Here is a 16,418-nt window from a genome sequence, read left to right on the forward strand (position 1 = left end):
AAGAAAACATTTTCATACAATAACAGATATTCTGTCTCTGTCTGTAGGACATCTTATTCTTTCCCCATTTAGTTACCCAAGAAGTTTGATAGACGTTGCTTTAGGAATGCAACAGAAAAACACAAATGCAAAATAAAAAAGATCAGCAAACTACTGTGAAAATCCTGTAAGTCATAAATTCTTTTAGTTATAGAACCCTCACCCCATCTCCAGCCTTAGCTGCAGCTCCACTCCTGAGTTATATAAGGGCACATTTGATGAGTAGATGGCAGAACTAGAGGGAGAGGGTGAGAACACGTTAAAAAAAAGCCTAGATATTTGCAGAGATTGAAGATTAGAGAGGGTCTATATTGCCATTTTGGGGTAAAGTCTGAATTGAACTCAAAACCTTGTGGAAGAGTATATTGATTTCTATGTAACTGAGTGTGGCTTGGAGATGGTAGGGAGTCTTAGCTCTAGTCACAGCATGTCATATACCCACAGCACCTGCTGGAATGACTTAAAATTTATTGAGAAGGATCTCTAAGTATCTAAAAGAAGTCTAGACACCAAGAGGCTTTGTTGTGATGAACAAAGACCTGTTTAAATCAGTGACCAGAGACCGTATGGTATTGAGCATATTTCAGCAAATGTTGGAGGAGAGTTGGAAACACTGAAGAGCATATAAATGCCTCCCTCCTCTGACTACCTAGCAATACATATTTGCCCTGCAATATATACTATGTTCGGGCAAAATATTTGTGCCTGATGAAAAGAATACTTTTTAGTAGCTATTAAGTTGAATTACAGGAAAAAACTTTGAACATCACTTTATTATAAAAGTGAAGTTGTAGTCTGTTGGACATGATATAGTTTATGTAGTCCTCAAAGTGGGAAAGTTTAGAAATGGAGAGTTAAGATTTCTGTCAAGGGTTGTTCCCATAGTCACTGATGAAAAGGATGAACTCAATCCAAATTTGCTTCAAATTCTTAATCTGAAGAATGAAAGACTGAATAAATCTTTCCAAGCCTTGGAAGAAAGATTTGAAAGGCAGTAAGGAAGAGCAGAAAGTTGCGCCAGAATCAAGACCCTTAAATTTTACTTCCACATTTGTTTTATACCTTTTGGCTTCCTGGCATTCTGGAAAGAACCTGGGTTGTGTTTTCTGTTTGAATATTTATGTTACTAATGGTCCATTTATTAGGCTACATACTATATATATTTCAGGATTTGTTTCAGTATTAAATGAGATAACATACTGCTTTGGGATGAGTTCCTTAAAAGTAGAGACTGCAGTTGGAATCTTTCTCTGTAATTGATTGAGGAAACCAGGTTGAGACAGGGGGAAAGGCTAAGCATGGACTTGGTCCAGTGGGAGTCTTGATCCCACCTGACCTCATAGGGAGCTCTGGAGAGTGAACTACATCACAGGGGTGATCCCTCCCACGCTGAGGCAAGGGAGCCAGACTGCTCTGACCTATTGTGGGTAAGAATAAAGTCATAATTGGCTGCAGTGTTTCTTGGGGTAGAGGTATATGCTACTGGACAATGGTGGCTCTCATTGGCAGAGGTCAACTTTCTAGGGAAAGGGGCAAATGTGAGCCAAGAGTAGCCAACACTCACAGTAGCGGGGGATGGCTACACTGTCCTGGGAAAGGAGATCTAGGCTGGGGGCCAGCAGTGTTCGTTATTACCAGGGAACTTGCCTGGTATGTGGGCAGCATTCAAGAAATAATAAACTTTAATCATATTCTGAATTTTAATTTCACTCTCCTTTTGAAGGTGTTTATACAGCTGGCCTTACCAATTTTGAGGAGTTGAAATAATGTAAGTTAAAGCACTTGTTAACAGAAACCATCTAAGTAAACATAAAAAGCAGATGAAAGGAAAAATTTTTTCAAAGCTAAAATTCAGAAATTTTTAAAAGAGTAGTGACCAGAGAACCAGTCTACTATCTTAGTTGCTTTTGGGAATGATGAGATAACATTCTATCCATCACTTTCTATCCAGGTAGCAATGATTCTGATGATTTACAGTTCATAACTCTGGGCTTCTATGTGTAGACAGAGATACCATCTATATTTATACATGATTAATGCTATTTTGTTATTAATTTGTATTTAAGAATGAAGGACTGGGTAGCAGGATGGACTCCTTATGTCTTTGTGTCCATGTTCCCCACAAAGTTTCTTCTTGAATGGGGTGCCTGGCCAGTAGTGTGGGTATGTGGGTCTGTCATGTGAATTGACAGGCTTCTTTCTAGGATGAATGAGGAGGGAACTGGTAATTAAGGTGCTTCTCTTTGTTCCCTGAACCTAATATCATTGGAAATGGCCTAATTATATTAATTACTCATAATAAAAACTGAAACCATCCCAGATGGCTCAAGTAAACTCTCATGAAGATTACATGCCCCAAGTTGGCTTCATATGCTTCTCACACACAAATACAGAAGCAGGTTGGTGAGAACAGAGAGAGGCTAGTGCAGCCATTCCACATGTGGACCTTCACTACGTTCTCTTGTGTTCTGTTCCTCTCACCCTTCATCACCTGCTCTCTTTCTCAGCCCAGAACCTCTCCAGGGTCCCACCCAGTAGGTTCCCTTCACTCACGTTTCCACTGTAATCTTCTCACAGTTCATTCTGGCCTGGACTTTTTCCCTCTCTGTTTTCTCCATCAGTGTATTTGCATCCACTTTTTATCTACCTCATGGGAATTGTGATAACTTTCATCTTTTTATTAGTTTTATTATTGATGGATTCAGGTCATTCTGTTTATAATTTTACATTTCATTTCAGTGGGAATTTTAGAGAGTTAAGAGGACAGCAAATATGTTTAGTTTGAAGTTTTGTTTCAGAACCCCACCCTAGTAACATTTAAATTTTTAAGCTGACTATATAATTTTGTCTTACATGTGATAAAAAATTTATAGGCAGAATCAAGAACTAGATCAGAAGCCCAAGGGAAAACTGATTTCAGGCTGGTACAATTCAATGGAGTATTCAGAAAGCAGTTTTTGTTCTGACCTTGTAAAATCCCATTTTACCTGAGATTTTTCTCCTTACTGGGTTATTTCATTTTTAGGATCCAATGATCTCTATGCTACAATAGATTGGGTGGGGAAGGCTTTTTGCTCAAAAGCTTCATTTTATTATTGGGGCACAGAGCAGTCTGTTCTTGTTCGCTATTGTCTCCCACCCACATGGCACTGCTGTTTGCTTTGCTCTGTTGAGCGTCACCGTCAATATCTCTCACCATTTCTACACCTCTCACAGGTTCCTCTCATTTCTGGTCTGCTGCTTGCACTCCTTCCACCTGTATTGAGTTCATGTAGGTTTACTTTTTAAAAATCTCTTTAACTATTTTGATAATCACTTATTTATATGTTATATTTTCTTCCATTTATCATTCTGTTCAAGTTTCTTTATAGATGGAGAAACTTAATTGTGGAGATAGAAAAACTGCATTAATTTTTTTTAGTGGCAGATTCTCATAATTTGGCACAATATATCAGTCTATTCTGAACACTGACAGTTGGAATAGTACTCTCACTTTCTCTTTTTAAATATAAGTTATCTAAATTATTTTCTCCTAGGTTCACAAATATTAAACTTGTTGACCTGAAATTAGGAAGTCTTTTCCACACTTTCCACTTGACAAAGAAAATTCTTGCCTTTAATCGTTTGCTTTGATTAATTAATGATATGTGATCCAGGCTGACTTTAAGTATGAGTCTCTGATCTAATTTATTTTTTAAAGAGTCAACTAAAGGAATAATCTCTTTCACCCACTGTAATGCTCACATCCAGCTGCACAGGGCCATATGAAGCTCAGCCCAGACTGAGACAACTGATCACCACCCCTCTTCTTGATGAACGACTTTACTAATATAGAGTGTCTCAATGGTTTTCCAAAGTCTACAACGTTGTCTTCTGTGACTAATTTCTCAGGGAAGTAAATTACTCTTCTATTTCTACATAATTCTCATTTCTCATGTATTTAAAATTAAAACCATATACTCTACGGAAGATGACGTCATCACAGATTCGGGAAGAAAGAAACACTTTCTGTTGGTTTTGATATCACATCTCTCAAATGAGAAGGAAACAGTTCACTTCCTTGGATCTGTGGTTCCACCTGTGCCCTCCAGGGGGCGACGTTGCACTAAGGAGGCATCTGTGTTCATTGCCGACCATCCTCATCCACTGAGCCTCCTCCCTGCAGCTGGCTGATGTAGCTCACTGATGTCTGTGTAGATAGGGAGCTGTGACGAGAGCAAGAGGTCAGAACACATCCAGACTCCTTAAGAGAAAGCCTTTCTGTTTTGGAAACTTTTCAAAGCCAGGGACTTGTCCAGCCCAACCTCCCCATTGCTCCTAGCTCCCGAGGCTCAGGACCCCTGGCTTCTGTCCTCCCTGCTCAGGGTCCTGCAGCGTTGCCTCTGCTCAGCCATGCTCCTGCTGCTCGTCCCAGTGCTCGAGGTGATTTTTACCCTGGGTGAGTAACATTCCATTCTTTTTCCTCCTTTTGTAAATGTGACTGTGTTGTAATTGCCTCTAAGTAGACTTCTTAGCGAAGTCAGCGCTGCTTTTGCTTACACAGCATTGGTGTTGCAGGAGGAACCAGAGCCCAGTCGGTGACCCAGCTTGACAGCCACGTCTCTGTCTCTGAAGGAACCCCGGTGCTGCTGAGGTGCAACTACTCATCTTCTTATTCACCGTCTCTCTTCTGGTATGTGCAACACCCCAACAAAGGACTCCAGCTTCTCCTGAAGTACACATCAGCGGCCACCCTGGTTAAAGGCATCAACGGTTTTGAGGCTGAATTTAAGAAGAGTGAAACCTCCTTCCACCTGACGAAACCCTCAGCCCATATGAGCGACGCGGCTGAGTACTTCTGTGTTGTGAGTGACACAGTGCTTGAGACTGCAGGAGAGCTGAACACAAGCCTCCTGAGATGCTGAGACTTTCTGTGACTCAAGAACTCGACCTTGAAGTCTGTTTTATAATATTAAATAGCAATTCCAAGTTTCTGATGCTTATTGATGTGTGCTGTATCTTTTTCATCTATTTATTTTTAAACTATCTATGACTTTAAATTTAAAGTGTGTTTCCTTTAGGTAGCTTTATATATAAGGTCTTTCTATCCACTATGTCAATCTCTGGTTTTGCACTGGCTAGTTTAGATAATTATAATTTAATGTATATTGATGAAATTGGATTTTAGTATACTATGTTATTATTGTGTTTCTGTTCCTCCCTTATTTTTTGTTGTTCTTTTTTTTTGCTGACACTTTTTGGATTATTTGAACATTTTTAACACTATTTTAATCTATGGACTTCTTTGGTTATATTTCCATATTTTTTGAGTGGTTGCTCTGGAGATTATAATACATATGACTAACTCTCCAGGGTCTTCTGTGATGTTGTACCTCTTTATGTAAAATGTAGAAATTTTTGTATAATATGTCTCTTTATTATACAATAATAATTGTCTCTTCAACAAACACTGAAGTTTGTTGTAGTCGTTCATGTATATCAAAGCTACCTATATTGGAAAGCTCACCATATAATGGTACAATTTTTGTTTTAAATAATTGTATGGACCGTATAAAACTCACTAGGAATAATAATATTTCGTATTTAACAGCTATTTACTAACTCTGGTATCCTTCCTTTGTTTCTAAAGTAAGTTTTCCTCTGACACCAGGAGATGTGTTTGAACTGATGTCATTCCCTTCAAACTTAAAAAACTCCCTTTAACATTTTTTCTAGAGTAGGTTTGCTGGTAATGGTATTTTTTAGTCATTTGTTATCTGAAGATGTCTTTATTCTTAATTTGCCCTTTATTTGTGGAAGATATTTTTACTGGGTCTGTAATTCTGTGCCAACCATTTTCCCCCCTCACTTTAAAGATACTGTTTCATTGTCTGCTGGTCTCCATGTTCTGGTTAGAAATCTATGGTCATTCAAGTAATTGTTCCCCAATGATATTAATATGTTGTTTTTCTCTAGCTGCTTCATATATATGCTATTTGTACACACACATACACGCAAGTAAAATCATATCATCTTTTGTTGTCCTCAGTATAATTATGATGTTTACATGTGGTTCCCTTTAATTTGTTCCTGTTTGGGGCTTAAATTCATAAGTTTGTCTTTCTTTGAATTTGGTAAGTTTTTGGCCATTCTTCTTTCAAATATGTTTTCTGGCGCAATCTCTTTCTCTTCTCCTTCTAGGACTCCATTAGTTACAACTTAGACTTTAGGACACTTTCCCACTAGCTCTCCATAGCTCTATTTTGTTTTCTTTCAATTTTTTTCTTGATTTTAAGGTCTGCCTCTACTCACTAGATCCCTGTAGCATTACATACCCCATGTTGTGACACCCAAATTTCTATCTAGATTTGTCAAATGTCTCCTGAGGGGAGCAAAGTCAAAATTAGTTAGGTTAGATAACCTATACTGGTCTATTTTCAAGTTTGTTATTCTTTTCTCTATCACTTTCATTTTGCTATTGAGCCCTTACTGTGACATTTTGATTTTGGATATTGTATTTCTCAGTTCTAAAATCTCCTTTTTTTTTTTTTTTTTTTTTTTTTTTGAGACGGAGTCTTGCCCTGTCACCCAGGCTGGAGTGCAATGGCATGATCTCGGCTCAGTGCAACCTCCGCTTCCCGGGTTCAAGCCATTTTCCTGTCTCAGCCTCTTGAGTACCTGGGATTACAGTTGCGTGCCACCACCCCTGGGTTTTTTTTTTTTTTTTTGGTATCTTTAGTACAGATGGGGTTTCAACGCGTTGGCCAGGCTGGTCTTGAACTCTTGGCCTCGTGATGCGCCTGCCTCGGCCTCCCAGAGTGCTGGGATTACCCATGAGCCACCATGCCTGGGCTAAATTTTCCCTTTTTTAACTTTGTGGTACATAATCAAAGAGCTACTTTAACGTCTTTTTCTATTACTTCTAGCATTTTAGTCATCTTGACCTTTCATCTGTTGATCTTTTACTTAAATATTAGTCCACTTTTCTGATCCTTTGTATGTCCAATAATTTTGAAATGCATATTAAACATTTTAAATATTAAGGGTGTAGACTCTGTTTTCTTCTTCTCCTTCTCATCCTTATTCTTCTTTACAAAGCATTCCTCTGAAGAATTTTGATGCTTTTGCTTTAGCAGGAAATCAACCTAGTTTGGTTCATACTGTAAATTTTCTCTTCCCTTTTGTGGAATTTGGTAGCTCAAAATCTCAGTTCAGTTCTCTAATCATTTGCAATGTTGGTTTGGATTTATCCAAGTCATGTGTAGCTTAGGGATTAGTGTGAAACCTGTTTGGGTGGCTCAAATATCAGGTCAGCCCTGAGCTCTCTGCTACATTGGTTTTTTTGTCCTGCATTGGTGCCACTCAGGAGGTAGTCTGAGACTGAAATAGTGGTTCAAATATCAGTTGAATAACCCAAGCTTTGTTGATCTGGTTTGAGTCAGTCCCAGGTACATGGAGCTTTGGGATTAGCCTGAGACTTGAGCTGTTTTCCATTTCTTCCTTGGGGTCTGTCTTTTCTAGCCTGGTCCACAGAGGCAGAAAGATTGTGTCTCTTTCTGCACAATCTTTTGGTCTCCTGCACAATCTTCCGCACCTCTTTTGGTCTCCTATACCATTGTTATTGCCACCCTACCATACACCAGGGGCCTTTCTAAGGGCAAAGACAAGAGAGAAAAACAGGAAAAAATATGAAATAAAAGGCTTGCACAAGTTGCTTCTCCAACGTTTGATTTTGTCTGCTTTGAGTAATTTCAGAGGCCACAGATAGTTATTTTTTTGTGTGTTTTGTTCAGTTTTCACTTGTAACCTGTAGGAGAGATGGGCTGTAGGCGTCTTAAAGCTGTCTCCTATTTTACTATGTTCCTGCATTAACTTATGGTCTACCATAATATGCATCAAGAATTGCTATTTGATATTTTCTTTTCCCACTTTTATTTTTTATTACTTCTTTCAGTCAATCTTATTCATTTTTTATATATGTACTTTTTTTTTTGTCATTAGGATTATAAGAATCATCTAATTACGGTCTTGATTCTTTGGATCTTTTTTCTCCAAACTCACGAAAGTCTTTCTTTGATGCTAGAAAATGAGCCTGTGCACTTGTTTTTAATATGAGCTTAAAGAACTATTTTCCCCAAAATATAAAATCTTCTGGATTCTGAACAATATCTGAACCCAAGAGCATAATAAGGTGTGATACGACTATCCAAAGACTATGCTTTTCCAGTACCTAAAGCAGAGCTATTTTATTTTCAATTTTCTGCTCTCTCTGTGTTTTTCATTTCTGAATTTTCACTTATTTTAAATGGACCATGCATTTTGTGATTTATTTATTTATTTATTTATTTATTTATTTTTTTGAGATGAAGTCTTGCTCTGTCGCTCGGGCTGGAGTGTAGTGGTGCGATCTCGGCTCACTGTAACCTCTGCACCCCAGGTTCAAGCAATTCTCTTGCTTCAGTCTCCCTATACTAGCTGGGATTACAGACATGCACTACCACGCCCAGCTAATTTTTGTATTTTTAGTAGAGATGGGATTTTGCCAAGTTGGTCAGGCTGGTCTGGAACTCCTGACCTTGGGTGATGCACCTGCCTCGGCCTCCTAAAGTGCTGGGATTACAGGTGTGAGCCACTGCGTCCAGCCTGGACCATGCATTTTGGTATTTTGGGGTGTGTTTGGAGACTATTCAATCTCCCTGACAATCAATGTATTTCTTCAAATGCTGTCAACATCCTCCGATGAGAGCATTCTATTTCTGATCCTATTCCTCTTCAACTATGAGATGTTGCCTCTAAATCAATAGAGAATTGAGAAATTCCTTTGCATTCTTTTAGTGCAGAGCAAAAGGCAGTATTCCAAGGCATCATACAATCCTGTCTTTTTCACTTTGAACACACTGGGATTTGCAAACACCCAGCAACTTTGAGAGACATTAAAATCATCACCAGCCTGAAAGTCAGCAGAAATTGCTCCTCATAGTTTATTTTGACTATGTTTTTCCTGCCCTGACTTTAAACTTCACTGTGATCCCATCTACTTTTGTCTTATGGAAACATGGATAAATCTATTCTTTCCAGATGATCTTTGTTTTTACTCTTTTGGATTTTGGTTTGTTCTCATTTATATTTCTATTTTTTTAGTTAGGAAGAAATTTGGTAGATATGGGATGTGAGTATATAGCATTAGGAATCTAAAGTCCACACTCAAAGTCTATGTATTTACAAAATGTCAGCCATACTCTTTCTACACAAAAAACAATCTGTACAGGCAGTAACAAATGAATCAAGAACCCAAGGAGAGAACTGGCCACATGCTCCTGGAATCAAAGAAAATAAGTATTCTGACTCTGTAAAAGATTCTCATTGGCCACAGAGAACCTGTCGAATTTCTCCTTTCTCTTGTTTTCAGAGATTGCTTGTTTGGTGTTGGTGTATTTCCTTCAGCCCTAGAGGTTTCTGTAGTTGCGTTTACCTTAGCTCTAGGGGCAAAGCCTTTCCATCCTGTGTTACACCTTGTCATTAGTCATATAGAGGCACTACTCCCATTTTAAGGGTCCCGTCTTTTACTCTATGGCCGCACAAGCATCTTCCAAGGGAAATATCTCTATCATCCTCCACCACCAACAAGGCAACTCTGAACCATCAAAAACTCATCCCGAAGCAGCTAGTCTGCGTCCAACGATTCTCAGAAACACAGCTTAATTCTGATATATTTTTAAAACCTGATTTCTCAATGAGGTAACGTATTACTCTATTTTTACATGACATCTTATTGCTAATGGACTATAGGCCTAAAACACCGTCATAGACTTGGGCAGGAAGAAACACATGGTGTGGATGTTTTGATACATCTCAGAAATTAGGAGAAACACACTAATGAGCTCTCTCTGCTAAACTGGTTCTGCACTTGGCCTCCAGAGGGCGATGCTGCACACACTGGAGCTTTTGTTTCTGTTGAAGATCAATCCACTGCTCAGTTTCTTCTTCCTGCAGCTGGTTGAGTTCTTTCCAGACAAAGACAAGTGACAAGAATTAGAGGTTTAAAAAGCAACCAGATTCATCTCAGCAGCTTTTGTAGTTTTAAATAAGCAAGGAGTTTCTCCAGCGAAACTTCCTCACACCTCTTGGTCTTGGTCTCTTCAGACACTTTCCTTCCTGTTCTCTGGAGATCTTGCAGAAAAGAGCCTGCAGTGTTTCCCTTGTTCAGCCATGCTCCTGGAGCTTATCCCACTGCTGGGGATACATTTTGTCCTGAGTGAGTAAAATTTCTTTATGGTCTCTAGTTCCACAGGTTCTGACTAGAAATGCTTGCTTTTTATACTGAGTCTGCACTGCTTTCACTGATAGTACATTGTTTTTCCAGGAACTGCCAGAGCCCAGTCAGTGACCCAGCCTGACATCCACATCACTGTCTCTGAAGGAGCCTCACTGGAGTTGAGATGTAACTATTCCTATGGGGCAACACCTTATCTCTTCTGGTATGTCCAGTCCCCCGGCCAAGGCCTCCAGCTGCTCCTGAAGTACTTTTCAGGAGACACTCTGGTTCAAGGCATTAAAGGCTTTGAGGCTGAATTTAAGAGGAGTCAATCTTCCTTCAATCTGAGGAAACCCTCTGTGCATTGGAGTGATGCTGCTGAGTACTTCTGTGCTGTGGGTGCCACAGTGCCTGGGTCTGCAGGGGGAGCTGAACACAAACTGCCTATGCTAGAGAAGTTTTCAGAGTTTCAGTATATCTCCCTGTGGTGTTTTCAAAGATCTCCTTTTTTATGATGGCGAATGAGGCAAAGAGGGCTAAGCCGACCCAGGCATTTCTATGTAATTCTGCAGTTCCTGTTATGCTCCATGTCCTGATAAATTTTGTTTCAGAAGCTTTTTGCTCATTGTAGAAACTATATAATAGGAAATAGTATTCTTGAATGATGGAAGAGATAGTATTCTTATAACAATCAAGTCCTCCATGACTTACCTTGATGTTGTCTGCATTAGGGGGTTGACCATGTGAGCTGTGACATGGCCTCAGAGAAAATTGGTTTTCATTTATAATTTCATCTGTCATCTAATCTGGAAAATAGAAGATGATTTTCTCATGTTTTTACCTTGCAAATTTGTTTTCAAGTTGGTCATTCATAGGTTATTTTTTTTAGAGTTTCTTTTTTTGCCTCTAACTGTGGTATTTATGTGTCTAAATATTTTGTCTGAGTTTAAATAACTCTATTTAGGAAGAACTGTGAGAAGTTATTAGTCAACAATAAAAGAGTCATTAGAATCATGAAGGACTTAGAAAAATGTCAGGTGATGTTAGTTCCGACAACTATTTAAGAATAGTGCAGAAGAAAAATGAAGATTAAAAATTCATCAGTGTTTCTCCAAATACTTTTTCACCGTGAGAAAAGTAGTTTCCTATTCTTTTAGTCTCAGAAATGCTGCAAATCTGTATCAGAAATTTGTGGCTATAATCCCTTTCATTTTTCTTCTAGCTACTGGCATTTCTATTCATTGCTTTCGCCCTGTTGTTATATGATTTCAGCTATTGGAATATTAAAGATGGATTCTTATAACATTTTGATAATCAATCATGTGATAAGTTTAGCAATGCCAAACTGTGCTGGAAACACTGATAAGAATTACAATGCATGGTAGAGAGTCACTGGACCCAGTATAAATTTATGACTTTCTTTTGTCTAGGATGGAAAGAACTGTTGAAGAAGCTTTTATACTTCTTGTTTGCTTGAAGCCTTGGAGGGTAGCAAGTAGTCTGGAGAAAAAGGAGAAGGAGGATGAATCTTTCCAGCTGCTACTTGGCTCACGCTATAATGTATTAGAGGGTAGGTACGTAGGAACCCTCAAATATAGAGAGAATAAGAAAATTGTGGCCAATGGTACACGTTAGCCAAATGGTGAACCAGCAGATCAGCAGTAGTTTTTAGGACCTAGTGAGATGATTATATGGGATAGATGTATTTCAATGATTGCTGGATGGGTATAAGGAAGGTAAATGGAACATTATAGATGTAAAATTATGAATAAGATATGTACTCGTGTAATGTCCCCTGCCTCAGTCCCTCCATTCTTTTCTATTTCTAAAGCACACTGTCTTCTACCTTTGATAAGATGGCTAACTTCAGGTGACTCACTGTTATCAGCTCAGCCACATTGCCCACAGGGACTGTGATGGGCACTTTATGCGAATCTTAAAGGAGGTAGGAACATAGAATTGTTTTGTTGTTGTATGTGTTTCAAATGTATGTAGAAAGTTGTATATAGAAGTCGAATAGTCCAAGGGGTGGATTGATTTATTGACTCTCAGCTCCAAATTCACCCCTTGCCTCTTCCGTGAATGTGGATCTGTACCCTTCAACTATGTTCCTTGCCAGTTGGCATAACGTTATGCTTTGCCAGTAGAGGATCAGGGAGAAAAGATTTTGATTTTTGCTTTCTGTGTGCACATGCCACAGGTTCCTGCAGCATGAGAGGCTTCTCCAGCGTCCGGCTCCTGCAGTGCACCCACACCAGGTTCCTGCGCTGTACAGTGGCCAGCAGTGTCCTCCAGCACTTCCATTTTTGCGTGGTACTGCAGAACAGAGCCTGCAGTGAGACACCTTCCTGTATCCAGCTTTCCCCATATTCATCCCTAGATTCATGAATCGGCACCCTAGATTATGGTTTTCTGGTAAGTATGAGAGGGTGAATTTCTCTGTAGAAAATTCACAGCACAACAGTGACTTCTGTGTCATCTAGTGAGACACAGTTGTGCCTTTCCCAATAAGATCTGGGTCTCACCCCTGGGGGGTGGGTCTAGGGGTCCCTTCTTGGGGTGTTGTACCCAGCCCTAGGAGTAGGGACTGCACCTTATATCTGCTATTCCTACAGGAATAGGAATAGCAGAGTTTTCTTTTCTTTGTATTACCTATTTCCTTGTTACTCTAAATCCTGTTATAATTAATAATTTTTTATATTAATATTAAATTTTCCTATAATTATAAAAAGCATTTTCTGTTCAAATTATTATATGGTCTATCTTTCCTGATTGGACCAGATTTATACATGCACCAAGGATCTCAAGCCACTGAAGAGCATCTCCCCACCCAGTCACCTGACAAATCTAGTTGCTTGCTTGTTTTATTTATTGCTCATTTGTTTTATTTATTTATGGTTTATTATTTTACTTATTTATTGTTTTACTTATATGATTACAAGAAACTTTATGCAATAAAGAATTACATTAAGAAGAATTTGGAAATATGTTTTTATATTAATGAAATTAATTTTGATTTTTCACATTTTGTGCATGTTTGACACAAAATTTTATTATACCATTGAGGCAAATTATAATTCCTTTTAAATGTATTTTAGCTTACAACACAAATTGTCTTTCATTCACTAATGAGACTGTGTCTGAAGATTTTAAATTCCAAGTCATTTTTCATTCATCTAACTCTGTTAATTATCCTTATTTTTGATTTCTTTAAAATGGAGGGAAAAGACCATGATAACTTTAAAACAATCTGAAGACAGAATACTTCTAACACCCAGAAAGTTTTTGTGTGTGCCTTTCCAGTCAACCCACCTTCTGGAGGCAACAGATGTTCATATTTCTAGTATTACAGAGACTTTAACCGTTTTAAAACTTCGAATCAATGGGATTATTCAGTAGGAACTCTCTTCTGCCTGGTTTCTTTCACTCGTCATGTTCTGGAGGTTAATCCGTGTTCATTACCGTAATTGTTGAGAAGTTTCCTATTATATGAATAAAGCACAATTTATTTATTCATTTGGCTGTGCACACCATTGGCTGATTACAGAATCTTTTAGGGATTAAAGCTTTGGTAGCATTCTTTTTTTTTTAATTAGATTCAGGGGTTACATGAGCAAGTTTGTTACATGGGTTCACTGCGTGATGTTGAGGTTTGGGCTTCTAATGATCTTGTAGTGAACGTAGTAACCTATAGATAGTTTTGCAACACTTTACCCTCCCCCCATCTCCTCCCTTTTGGAATCCCCAGTGCTTATTGTTCTCATCTTTGTGTCCTTGTGTACTCAATGTTTAACTCCCACTTATAAGTGAGAACATTGTGTATTTGGTTTTCTGTTTCTGTGTTAATTCCCTTAGGATAATGGCCTCCAGCTTCATCCATGTTGCTGCAAAGGACATGATCTCATGCTTTTTATGGCTGTGTAGTATTTTGTGGTGTACATTTACCACATTTTCTTCATCCAGTCCACCACTGGTTGGAATTTGGTAGCATTCTTGGTGCAAGGTATAGGCTGTCCTAGATTTTTATATGCCGTTCAGGCAATGGTAGGGTGTGTCTCTGAAGTTCTATAGTTGAAATCCATATCTTAAATACTTTTATTTAAAAACCAATTCCTAAATTTCATTATGCTATTTAACATGTCACTAATTTTTCTAATAAAAACCCAATATCTGATATTTCCTGTGCTACTTATAAAAGCTTCAGGTATCATTCAAGCTGTGGGTAGCTGAACTGTAGTTTCCTCTGTTGTGGCCTTACGTGTTGATAACAACAGTAGCTGACCGCCTTGGAGTTTGCTTTCTTGACTAAGTGAATTGACTCTCCTTAGAGTTGAGACTTAAGTTAACCAGCTCATGCTTGATATTCTGTGGTTTCTGTTGAAAAGATTTAATGTAAATTATATAACCTAGCACTTTAGTATATTTATTCTTACTTGGTAACATATATATATATATATATATAAAATGAACAATATTTTGATAAGTGTTCCTGCAAATCCTGAAGATCTATAAGTCATGTAATTATAATCCTTGCTCAACAGTCATTCCAGAGAACTCATTTAATATTTAGAGGCATTTTGCTATATACAGTACATATGAAAATATTTTAAAGCTTGTTAGGTAACTTATAAAGGAAATTTCGCTGTTATTTAATATCACATATGCAGCACATCCAATACAAATTTCCAATCGTTTAAGCACAATAATAAAGTTGTCAAGATAATTAGAGGTCTGTACAGAATTCTCATGGGGATATCTAAGACAAGGGAGCACTTTTATTCAGGAAACAAGTGCACCAAAACATGAGTGTAAAAGGTAGAATGTTAAGATGCTGAAGATACTTTATATGTATATTTATGACTTCAAGTTGCTCTGTGTGATATATTTCATATAACTGGATATTAAAAATTTACCTTCACATTAATTTTCTAGAGCTGCCATGACAAATACCACAGACGGGGTGGCATAAGCAACAGAATCTGTTTTTCTCTCAATTCTGGAGATAGAAATCCAAGATTAAGGCATTGGCAGGGCAGGTTGTTATTGAGGCTTGCAGATGGTTGCCTTCTCACCGTGCCTTCAGGTGGTCTCTCCTCTCATGGTGCACATGTCTGTATCTGGATTTCCTTTCTTACAAGAACACCAATTATGTTGAGTTAGAGCCCAGCTATATAACCTCATTTTACCTTAATGACCTCTTTAAAGATCCTGTTTTCAAATACAGTTTCATTCTGATGTACTGGGGATAAGGGCTTCAACATGTAAATTTTGGATGAGACACGGTTTATTCTGTGGCAACCCTCCAGGGAAATAAATATCAAATTAATGAAGAAGACAATTAAAGCCTCTCTTGACACAACACTTTGCTAATTGCTGGCGCACACAATGATCATATATAATTTTGATGATGAATTTTCCCTGCTTTCTTTTGTGATTCTAGAGCAATTAGAAATGTGCAATAACAGATGCAGATACTTCCTAAATATTTCAAATTGTAAAGGAAGTAGAGAGTACAATGATAAAAATGTAAAAGCTATTATTTAGACTTGCCTTCTTTCTCTCTGCTACATTAGGATATGGAATTTTCTCATGTTAGGTTTGTCCTTTTCTGCAGCTAAATCTTAATTTCTTTTTGGTTTTCCATCTCAGATAGTTTTCCTTTCTTTCTCTACTCTTTTCTGTATGAATGTTGAGTTTTTTACCTTGTCTTTTTTTTCCTCTCTCTTGTCTCTGATCTCAACTTTGCCAGAGCTATTTTAGCAGACTAACTTGCTATTCTTATCTTGCACTACTCTTTTACTACCTAATCAGCAGAAGTGACATTTAAAAGAAGCGAAAAGGATTGAAATTCTTTTGGAAGTTGTTTATGGCAGGTGCAGTGGGTTAAGTAGATGAGGGAGGGGTGCTATAGTCCTTGAATACAGAGGCAGCAGGAAGAATCCCATCCTATATGCTCAGCTTTCTTGGGGCTTGTTGTCTGTTTTTTCAAGCAGTATGTGGCAAGATTTTTAATTTTGATTGAATCATAGTCTTTTTAAAAATATGTTTCGATTACTGATACATTTGGATTCATTTTAACGTTTTGGCTCTGCTCAGCATGCTCTTGATTTGTTCTTTCGTGTTTTAGTCTGTCTTCTGTTGCAGT

The 16,418-nt window shown here is 38.1% G+C and overlaps 2 gene segments (V, D, J or C) and 1 further gene, besides 8 other annotated features; all 3 read left to right on the forward strand.

Moving 5' to 3' along the window:
* The window catches only part of TRA (T cell receptor alpha locus), a 930,229-nt gene that overhangs the window by 220,427 nt on the left and 693,384 nt on the right, over window positions 1-16,418 (forward strand).
* Window positions 4,432-4,477: a sequence feature (TRAV8-2 leader sequence).
* On the forward strand, window positions 4,432-4,891 carry TRAV8-2 (T cell receptor alpha variable 8-2). The segment is given in 2 exon segments: window positions 4,432-4,477; window positions 4,597-4,891. Coding segments are annotated over 2 exon segments (341 nt in total), but the record flags the coding sequence as incomplete, so codon positions are not given.
* Window positions 4,597-4,607: a sequence feature (TRAV8-2 leader sequence).
* Window positions 4,899-4,920: a recombination feature (spacer).
* Window positions 4,921-4,929: a recombination feature (nonamer).
* Window positions 10,228-10,273: a sequence feature (TRAV8-3 leader sequence).
* TRAV8-3 (T cell receptor alpha variable 8-3) lies at window positions 10,228-10,676 on the forward strand. The segment is given in 2 exon segments: window positions 10,228-10,273; window positions 10,382-10,676. Coding segments are annotated over 2 exon segments (341 nt in total), but the record flags the coding sequence as incomplete, so codon positions are not given.
* Window positions 10,382-10,392: a sequence feature (TRAV8-3 leader sequence).
* Window positions 10,684-10,706: a recombination feature (spacer).
* Window positions 10,707-10,715: a recombination feature (nonamer).

Source organism: Homo sapiens, chromosome 14, assembly GCF_000001405.40.
Source record: "Homo sapiens chromosome 14, GRCh38.p14 Primary Assembly".
Lineage (NCBI taxonomy): Eukaryota > Metazoa > Chordata > Mammalia > Primates > Hominidae > Homo > Homo sapiens.